Below are 10,362 nucleotides of genomic sequence, written 5' to 3' on the forward strand. Positions count from 1 at the left end.
ATGGCAGCCAAGTTTAAGAGCTGCTGTTCTGGCCGGGTGTGGTGGCTCATGCCTATAATCCCAGCACTTCGGGAGGCCAATGTGGGCCGATCACTTGAAGTCAGGAGTTCAAGACCAGCCTGGCTAACATGGTGAAACCCCGTCTCTACTAAAAGTACAAAAATTAGCTGGGCGTGGTGGCGCATGCCTGTAATCCTAGCTACTTGGAAGGCTGAGGCAGGAGAATCGCTTGAACCTGGGAGGTGGAGGTTGCAGTGAGCCGAGACCACACCACTGCACTCCAGCCTGGGTGACAGAACAAGACTCCATCTTTAAAAAATAATAAATAAATAAATAAATAAATAAATAAATGTTGCTGTTCTAATTTCTTCTTATTTGGCTTCCACTCAGACCTATCCTATTGAAATTGCCTCATCACTGTGAAGCATGGGGTGGGAATTGATTCAACCCATTACGTTAAACCATCTCTTCCCTGAGTACTATTTTTCTCTTGTTTTCTCAGCCTCTCTAACCAAACCTTCTCAACATTATTTTCTAGGCCTGCGTCCTCTTCCTGGTTTCTGAATAAAACTATGCTCCATTTCAGAGATCTCATCTTTCTTCTCAGCCACGCCCCCATTTTGTCTCTTGCTCACAATGCTAATTCTCAAATCTAATTCTAACCTTACTCAAGATCCACCTTTCCACCTGCAGATAGGCAATGGTAACAATGCCACTTGGACCTCGGACCAACCTGACATTCATTTGTTTCCATCCTTTCTCCCCACCCGTAACTGGTTCCAACTGTCTGGCTTCCATCACACCTGGCACAAATGAAAAGCTCAATTCATGTTAACTGAACTGAATCGCATTCCTGAGTCCTACACTTGGCCAGAGCTTTGTGAATTTCTAATTCCACAATCAGATATGGTGTTTCCCTCCTTTGAACAATAAAGACATTTTAAAACTTACTTGATCCAGGAAACATACCAAGCGCTTTACTTCTGTGATCCTGTTGAAGCCTCAGAGCAACCTTATAAAGGAGGTTCAGAATATTAAGGCTGTTTCACAGATGGGCAAAGTGAGGCTTAGGGAAGAAGGGTGTGAAAAACACTCTAGGTCAGACAGCTACTGTTCAATTAAAGTCTCACTCGAGCGTCTAACCCTTGCTTTTTATGTCAATGGATGTTGAACTTCAGTGTGTACCAGGATTAAGGGGCTATCAGGGGATGTTAATTCAGTTGGTCAGAGACATGATCAATGAGTCTGAATTTTTTTTTTTTTTTTTTTTTGAGATGGAGTTTTGCTCTTGCTGCTCAGGCTGGAGTGCAGTGGTGCCATCTCAGCTCACCGCAACCTCCGCCTCCCGGGTTCAAGCGATTCTCCTGCCTCAGCCTCCCGAGTAACTGGGATTATAGGCATGCGCCACCATGCCTGGCTGATTTTGTATTTTTAGTAGAGACGGGGTTTAGCAGAGATGGATCAACCTCAGGTGATCTGCCCACCTTGGCCCCCAAAGTGCTGGGATGACAGACGTGAGCCACCATGCCCGGCCTATGAGTCTGCAAATTTAATACATATCCCAGGTGGTGTAGGGCCCACACTTTGAGAAACATTGCTCTGTGCTCCACGGCTTCTCAAAGTAAAAAGAAGATACCTGTTGGAAATGCCTTAGTCTCCTTCCTGACAGGTGAGGATTTCCCTCACACAAATAATAAAAAGTGAACTTCCAAGGCATTCATTTGCACCCTGTATGATATGTGAACTAATATCCCTTTCTCCTCCTCACCACTAGGTTCTAAGAGTCTTGAGGGCAGGGACCACACCTGATCCATATTTGTGTCCTCTGCACTTCCTAGAACATGACTTGCACAAAGTTGATCACAGTAAATAGTAGGTAAATAGAGATATGTTTTGAGCCAAGTCTTAAAGGAAGTACTGCTCATTAATTAGTGGAAAAGAGAAAATAAAGGGATTACTAAACAGAAAAATTTGCATAAGCAAAGAAAGAGAGGAGGGATTCCACTAAGAAGAAGGCTTCTTATTCACTGGCCCTTCTGTGAAAGCGGTTTATAAACTATACAGTGACAGTTAAAATTATTTTCTTATGGGCTGGACACAGTGGCTCATACCTGTAATCCCAGCACTTTGGGAGGCTGAGGCGGATCACTTGAGGTCAGGAGTTCACAACCAGCCTGGCCCACATGGTGAAACCCCATCTCTACTAAAAATACAAAAATTAGCATGCCTGCAGACCCAGCTACTTGGGAGGCTGAGGCAGGAGAATCTCTTGAACCCAGGGGGCGGAGGGGGCAGTGAGCTGAGATTGTGCCAGTGTACTCCAGCCTGGGCAACAGAGTGAGACTCTGTTTCCAAAAATAATAATAATTTTCTTATATCCTCTCCTTTACCAAACAGATTCATATCTTCCCCCTTTCCTGCTCTATCCTGAAAACCTCAGTTCCTTAAACAAAGGCTGTCTTTCTTGCTCATATTACGTACCTACCGTGGGTTGGATGCGGCTCTGCTCTAGAGACTTTCCTTTGGGCTCCCATCTGGAAGCTTCCCTGTGTTGTGGTGGAAGGAAAAGAGATGCAGCAAACCCCGTTCCAGCTTCTAAAGCTTCTGCTTGAGGACTGACTCACATTTCAATACTGAGAGGGATACACTCACATCTCATTGGCCAAAACAAGATGCAGGGCTGCTTCTGAAATTATCAGGGCAGGGCACTGACTGGAGGAGCAACCAGAACAGGACAGCAAATGTTTTCAATAATAACATAATCCGTTAGACTCCTTTCTCTCCAAATTCTGTCTCTTCCAGAAAACTTGTCTTAAATTATGTCAGGATTTCTCCTGAGGTCTGGCCCCCCCAAACCAGGGCAAGGGAATGAATAAAGTGAATTCTGGATCTGGATGAGGAGCCATAAAGTATATTCACAGTTGGAATATAAACTCCCTAAACATGAAAAGGGGACAACTTTACCTGCATGGAAGAAAGGGTGGGAGAAAACAAACTTATCCCTGAACTAAAAACTGGGCATGGACTCACTGACCCTGAATCACAGTTTTTGGGGTGGAGGTCATCTAGCCTAATGCCCAGTGCAAGAATGCTCACCTTCCCAAATGTGGGACCACCCAGTCTCTGATTAGACACTGCTGCGGATGGAGAACTCATTATCCTGTGAGGCAGCCAGCACAGTCATTGAACTTCTGCAGGTCCTCTCTCATTTCCAGAGGTCCATAATGTCCTCATCACCCTCAGCCAGCTGGCAATCCACTGCTTCTCTCATACAGATTTGAGTACTGAATTGAGTTTTCCACATTGTATCCAAGAAATGGAAATATGGTTGAAATAGTAGTCCCTGAGACATGGGAATAAGGTTGAAGTTGTTTTCCCCAACAGGTGGTCATTAAAGCCTGATTATGGGCTGCTTCTGAAATGGCTCCCAATATTTCTCACCTCCTAATGGTGTCCTTTTGTGTAATCTCTTCCATTTATGTGTGGGCTAGACCTAGAGATTTGGTTCTAACAATAAAATACAGCAAAAATGATGGCATGCCAGATTCATTAAATTATAAAGGACTGTGAGTTTTGTCTTACTGGAACTCTCTCTGGCTCTTGTCATATGCTTGCCCTGAGGAAGAGTTGCTGTGGAAAGGCCCATATGGCAAGGAAATAAGGGAGGCTTCAGTCCAATGGCCCTTGAGGGACCAAATTCTCCCAACAACTATGTGAGTAAGCTTGGAAGGAGATTCTTGTCCAAATGAGTGTGATTGTTAATACTGGGTGTCAACTTGATTGAAGGATATGAAGTATTTATCCTGGGTGTGTCTGTGAGGGTATTGCCAAAGGAGATTAACATTTGAGTCAGTGGGGTTGGGAAAGGCAGATCCACCCTCAATCCGGGTGAGCACAATCTAATTAGCTGCCAGCATGGCTAGAATAAAAAGCAGGCAGAAAAATGGGAAAAGAGAGACTGGCCTAGCCTCCCAGCCTACATCTTTCTCCCCTACTGGATGCTTCCTGCCCTCAAACATCGGACTCCAAGTTCTTCAGCTTTGGAACTCCAACTGGCTCTCTTTGCTCCTCAGCCTGCAGACGGCCTACTGTGGGAGCTGGTAATTGTGTGAGTTAATACTGAATAAACTCATATATATATTCCATTAGTTCTGTCCCTCTAGATAACCCTGAGTAATACAATGAGCTTTCAGATGAGACCTCATCCCCAGCTGACACTTTGATTGCAACCATGTGATCCACCCTGAAGCAAGGATCCCATAAAGCTGCATCTACCTTAAAGAAACTGTGATATAATTCTGTGACCCATGTAAACTGTGTGATAATAAATGTGTTGTTTAAAACCACTACGTTTGAGGATAATTTGCTATGTAGTGATAGATGACTAATATAATTATATACAAAAGTGTTCTGTGATCCTTGGCTTACTGATAAGAATTTCATTCTAGCAAATTCTCTCCTCATGATGGCAGGTTCATTCCCCAAATACCTACTAAAGTGGCCATCTTCAAATTGGGGTTTGTGGGGCCCTGTACACCAAGACTATTCATGTTGTTATTCCCATATTTTGTTTTAAAGGAATTGGTGTCCAGATCCTATACCTCCATATGTATTTCTTCCTAAACACTGATTTGAAAAAAATCAGGCCTGCAATTAGGCAAGGGTCATTCTCAGGTCTCAGTTCCCAGGTCCCTTTCTCTCCCTTTGCAAAAGACACATTCTCAGACCTCCTGAGTAGTAGGATGGTGGTTTGCCCAGGTAGCCAAAGCATGATGCCACACACAAGGACACTTAGAAATTTGGTGTTGAGAAAGCAAGTAACTAAAGAAGGGGCCACAAATTCTTTTGCAGCTCAAGTAGTTTCCACTTCTGTGCTATCAACAAAATTGAAGCAGGACTTAAGCCAGTGGTCAGCTGACAGATTATTAAAAACAATCTTTTGATGGATCACTATGTAATTTTTGGCAACTCAGAAGGAATTCAAAGAATTGAAGGACGCTGTTCCAACAAAACTTGCCTTCCTATCTATTTATTTATGCAAACAAGATTCCTCTCAGCACTTATAACAAAAATAGGAATAGATTTTTGAAGCTGTGCAGTAATACTATTTGTGATAATTCAAAATAATTTTAATACTTAGACCACTGGAAATTTTTAAAATATATTAATTTATATAGCTATTTTTGTTGTGGTTAATTATTATAGGGTGGTTATTAAAAGGACTTCTACCACAAAAAAATGTAGGATAAAATTCCGTGGAAAAAGTGGAATGGAGTTTCAGGCTTAAGGAACAAAAAATAATTGATTTAAATAACTTGTTTGTGTATTTTAAAAATGGGCAATGGAAGTTATCAAATTGCTAGGACAGTTAGAGTCCATTGGGTTCATTTAAAACAGTAATATAGTATTTTAAGTGACTAGATACAGCAAAATTACATCCTTTTCAACTATGGAAACTTAGAAAATATCCAAAATGTATGGAGACATACAGCTTTTAAAAAATTCATTTTGAGAATATAAGAGCAAGAAAGTCAGCTGGGCATGATGGCTCACACCTATAACCCTAACGCTTTGGGAGGCCAAGATGGAGGATCACTTGAGCCCAAGAGTTTCAGATCATCCTGAGCAACATAGGGAAACCCCATCTCTACACAAATATATTAGCCAGGTGTGGTGTCATGCATCTGTAGTCCCGGATACTTAGGAGGCAGAGATGGGAGGATTGCTTGAACCCAGAAGGTCAAGGCTGCAGTGAGCTGTGGTCATGCCGCTGCACTCCAACCTGGGCAACCAGAGCAAGACCCTGGCAGAAAAAAAAAAAAAAAAAAAAGCAAGAAAGTCTAAAGCCCCTGGGGTGGAGGACAGCCACTTCCACAGCTCCTCACATTAGGACTTTCTTAGGAATTCAGGATTTAAATTGGTGTTAACCATCTTGATGCTGTGAAACGCTTTCAGCCTGCCAGTTTAGTCTATGCTCATCTCCAAGTCTCTCTTGAGACAATACAGACTTATTTTTTCACCTGTTTCAAGTTAGCACCCAGCCTCTGCAGCTTCAGCAGTAACTTCTGTTACTCTTTGTACGGGGAGGCCCTGGCACAGTCCCCGACCCCCTGACCCAGACTTCCGCTCCAACATTCTTCCATGGTGGAGCTCTAACATGTGAGGATGAGTGGAGGTTATTGGAGTTGTTTAGTTTAGGAAAAAAAGACTCTGAGGTCTGAGGAATGGTGAGGACTGGGGACCCCCAACAAGAGAGATAGGGACATCGTGTTCTTAAATACTTAAAAATCAGTTTTGTGAAAGAGAGATTAAGCTGATTAATAGAGGCCAGGCCCACAGGGAGGAAGTTTCAGGGTAATAAATCCTGGACAACCATGAAGCATAAGTACAACATTCAAATAAGAAAAACCATCAAGAGAGGACCAGGCATCTCATGAAGAATTGAGCGTGCTGTCCCTGGAAGAATGCAAGCAGAGGCTGGATTATCACTGTCAAGGATGCTATTTTGCCACCGGGTGGAGGGTGGGCTGTACCCCTGCTTGGAATCACTGGTGGTTCCCTGGTGGCTGCCCTCCTTACACCTGGCTTATGGTGCCCAAGAAAGCTTAGAGCTGTTGTCACAAATGCTGGATTGATAGCCTTGAGGGAGGAAACCCGCATCTTAAAGCTTGCTCCCTAGGAAGGTTTGATATCAGTTTCTTACAACTCAGTACGACTGTAAGTCATGTGCTTCCTTTGGGGGGTGTTTCACATAAACCTCGCCTTTAATCCGAAATGGAATGAGCGGCTTTGCTTCCTAGGAGGCATCCTGACTGCTGAAAAGGGGTGGTGGGGCTAGCTTCTTCTCTTTGAAGAAGAGGGAGGCATAACAGTGTGGTTTATGCTTTCGCAGAACCTCCAAAATTCCTGCCCCTAGAGGCTGTTCCCAGGGCTCACGGGCTGTATATAAATAACTGTAATGACACCTCCCCGCCAACCCCAGAATGAAATGACGAGTCTATTGGAGCTTGGATGGAGAGGAGGGAGGAGAAAAATGAGGTGACATGGATCAGAGGAAATGTGATACCACCGTCGGCGAACGCACAGTCTCCTCCACACCCCACTGAAGTGTTCTGAGCCTCCAGTCCTCCAACAGACACTTGCCCCTCACCACAATCGGCTCTCACCTAAGCAGCTGCCGGTCCCTTTCCGGAAGATCGCAGAGGCCGCGGGAATGTTTTATCCCCAGCGTCTCACGCCCTCTTCTGGACACTTTTCCCAACAGCTAGTTCTGTTTCTGCGTTTTCTCATTTTTCAATCCCTCTCACTTCACCTGAGAGGAAGTCTCCCCTAGAATCAGGTTGAAACATGGTCCCCACAGCAAGGCTTTGGTTTAATGGTTCCATTTTGATTTATTACCAGGTGATGTGGGGTGAAGGGTAAACTTTCTGAGCCAGGCAGGTGGGGAGAGATTGTGAAATTCTCTGCTACTCAAGCGGGTCTCGGGAGCCCCTATCATCTTCCTATTCCCAGAAATGCCCAGGCCAAGAGCTGCCGCACCGCCAACCACGGGGGTGACTTTGGGCGGTCCCGCTTCCTCTCTGAGCCTCTGATTTCTCATTAGTAAAATGAGAGGATTGGCTCTTCCATCTACCACTTTCAAAGATCAGGGAACTAGGGAAGATTTTCTGTTATATACTCTGAAATACTACAGTCCCACTCAGTTAATTTGAGCTTAAATTCTAGGGGTGGCCAGGTGACAGGCTGTGAAGAATCTCCATTCCAGGGCAGTCAGCGGGCACATCCCAAAAGGCCACACTCTAGATGTAGCCACCACACATCCTTCTGCTATCACATTTCAATCAATCACCATGTCTAGGCTAACTAACAGACTGAATGTCAAATGAGTTTTTATTGGTGACTTGTGAAATTGCAGGATGCATGTTAGAAGTTGGATCTCTTTGGTTAAATGATGGGTATTCAAGATTTAGGGGTAGGCTAGAGACACTCCTCACTCTTGCCAGAACACGCCAGAGCAAGAATCTGGAGTGCCCTATAACCTGCACCGTGAGGGAGGGTGCCCAAGGCTGGATCCTAATTTGGCCTGGTGTCCAGCCGATGGTGGAAGAGGACATCTGGTTGTAAAAAGCTGACTAGAAGCACGAACTCCTGCCTCTGAATGCTGCAATGAATGAACCTTGTATACAGGCAGCCTCAAGTAACCCTGCCTTACAGGTGTGATCAGAACCCCTAAAAGGCAAGAGTGCTGAAACCTCATCAAGCTTACCAAGCCAGTTCTGGACCAGCTTGCCGCTGAAAGCTTGTCTAATAAGTGGCAGCACGTGGGCTGAATGAACTGCTTTCTCTATCACCTGTAGCCACCACAACCTTCTTGGGCAACTAATTGTTATCTACCAAAAAGAATCTAAATGTGGCATAGAATCCTAAGTCATTTTCTAACTCTGAGTCTTATATATTTCTGATTCCTTTAAACAAAAATTCATCTAAACATCATTTGTTAAACACCCACTATGTTTCAGACACTCCCTGAGATTACAGAGATTTACAGAAGAATAAAATGTCTTTTGGGGGCCCAGCCCAAACATACAGCTGCCTACTTGCCTTTTCCACATATGTGTCTAAGGGTATCTCTGACTTATATTACCAAAATGAAAATCTTAATTTTCACCCCACATGCATGTTCTTCCCCAAATCTTAACCATATTGATACATAGCATCACCACTTACCATCAAGCCGAAATCCTAGGCTAGGCATCATCCTTGATTCCTCTATTTCCCTCAATTCTGTTTTTCTTTTTTTTTTTTTTCTTTTGAGATGGAGTCTCACTCTGTCACCCAGCCTGGAGTGCAATGGTGTGATCTCGGCTCACTGCAACCTCCGCCTCCAAGGTTCAAGCCATTCTCCTGCCTCAGCCTCCTGAGTAGCCGGGACTACAGGCACGCGCCACCACGCCCAGCTAATTTTTGTATTTTTAGTAGAGACGGGGTGTCACCATATTGGCCAGGCTGGTCTCGAACTCCTGACCTCAGGTGATCTGCCCGCCTCGGCCTCCCAAAGTGCTGTGATTACAGGTACGAGCCACCGAGCCTGGCCTATTTTTTTTTTTAAATTTTTTTAAGAAATAGAGATGGGGTTTTACCATGTTGCCCAGGCTGGTCTCAAACTCCTGGACTCAAGCGATCCGCCATCTCGGCCTCCCAGACTGCTGGGATTACAGGTGTGAGCCACCGCGCCCAGCCCATTTTCCTCAATTCTCAATTCTAATCCATCAGCAAAGCCTAATAGTTCAATCTCCAAGGCACATCCCAAATCAGGCACCTTTTCCATCTCCAGTGGTGCCACCCTCCACCAGCCCCAGCCATTTCCTGCTGGGCTACTGCAAAAACCACCTGCTTGGTCTCTCCACTTCCATTTATTTGACCTCATCTCTTCCTGCCCTTCTCCTTTCTTACTTTGAGCTCCCGACCTCAATCCCTTCTTTCTGTTCCTCAAACATGCTGTGCTTATTCTCACCTCAGGCTATTTGAAGCTACTGGCTCCTTCCCTGGAAGGCTCTACCCCTGACATTCACCTCAGGCCCAAAATTTAAATAAGCACCAAGAAAACTTAGTACTCAAGACATTAGGACAATAATTTAATGCAATAGCAAAAAAAAAAAAAAAAAAAAAAGGTCCATGACGAAAAAAAACACAAATTTAAATAAAGACAGGATTCAGGAGTGCCATGCTAAGCCATATAGAATCCAAAGGCCAGAGGTAAAAATGTGTGCCCCTATATACATTTTTTTTTGAGCTGGAGTCTCACTCCGTTGCCCAGGCTGGAGTGCAATGGCGCAATCTCGGCTCACTGCAACCGCCTCCCAGGTTCAAGCTATTCTCATGTCTCAGCCGCCCAAGTAGCTGGAATTACAGGCGCCCACCACCGCGCCCAGCTAATTTTTGTATTTTTAGTAGAGACAGGGTTTCGCCACATTGGTCAGATTGGTCTCAAACTCCTGACCTCAGGTGATCCACCCACCTCAGCCTCCCAAACTGCTGGGTTTACAGGCATGAGCCACCGCACTCAGCCTTGTATTTCTTTTTAAGAGGCAGGGTCTCACTATGTTGCCCAGCCTGGAGTACGGTGGCTGTTCACAGCCTCGATCAGGAATTTTGACCTGCTCAGTTTCTGACCTGGGCTGGTTCACCCCTCCTTAGGCAACCTGGTGATCCCAGCTCCTGGGAGTTCACTATGTTGATGCCAAACTTAGTGCAGACACCCGGTCAGCATAACACACTACAGCCCAGAACTCCTGAACCCAAGCAATCCTCTTGCTTTAGCCTCTGGAGTAGCTGGGACTATAAACATGTGCCACCATGCCC

At 44.9% G+C, this 10,362-nt stretch overlaps 1 pseudogene; it reads right to left on the bottom strand.

Moving 5' to 3' along the window:
- On the bottom strand, positions 10,085-10,362 carry RN7SL310P (RNA, 7SL, cytoplasmic 310, pseudogene; annotated as a pseudogene).

The sequence above is a fragment of the Homo sapiens genome, chromosome 18 (genome assembly GCF_000001405.40).
Source record: "Homo sapiens chromosome 18, GRCh38.p14 Primary Assembly".
In the NCBI taxonomy this organism is placed as follows: domain Eukaryota; kingdom Metazoa; phylum Chordata; class Mammalia; order Primates; family Hominidae; genus Homo; species Homo sapiens.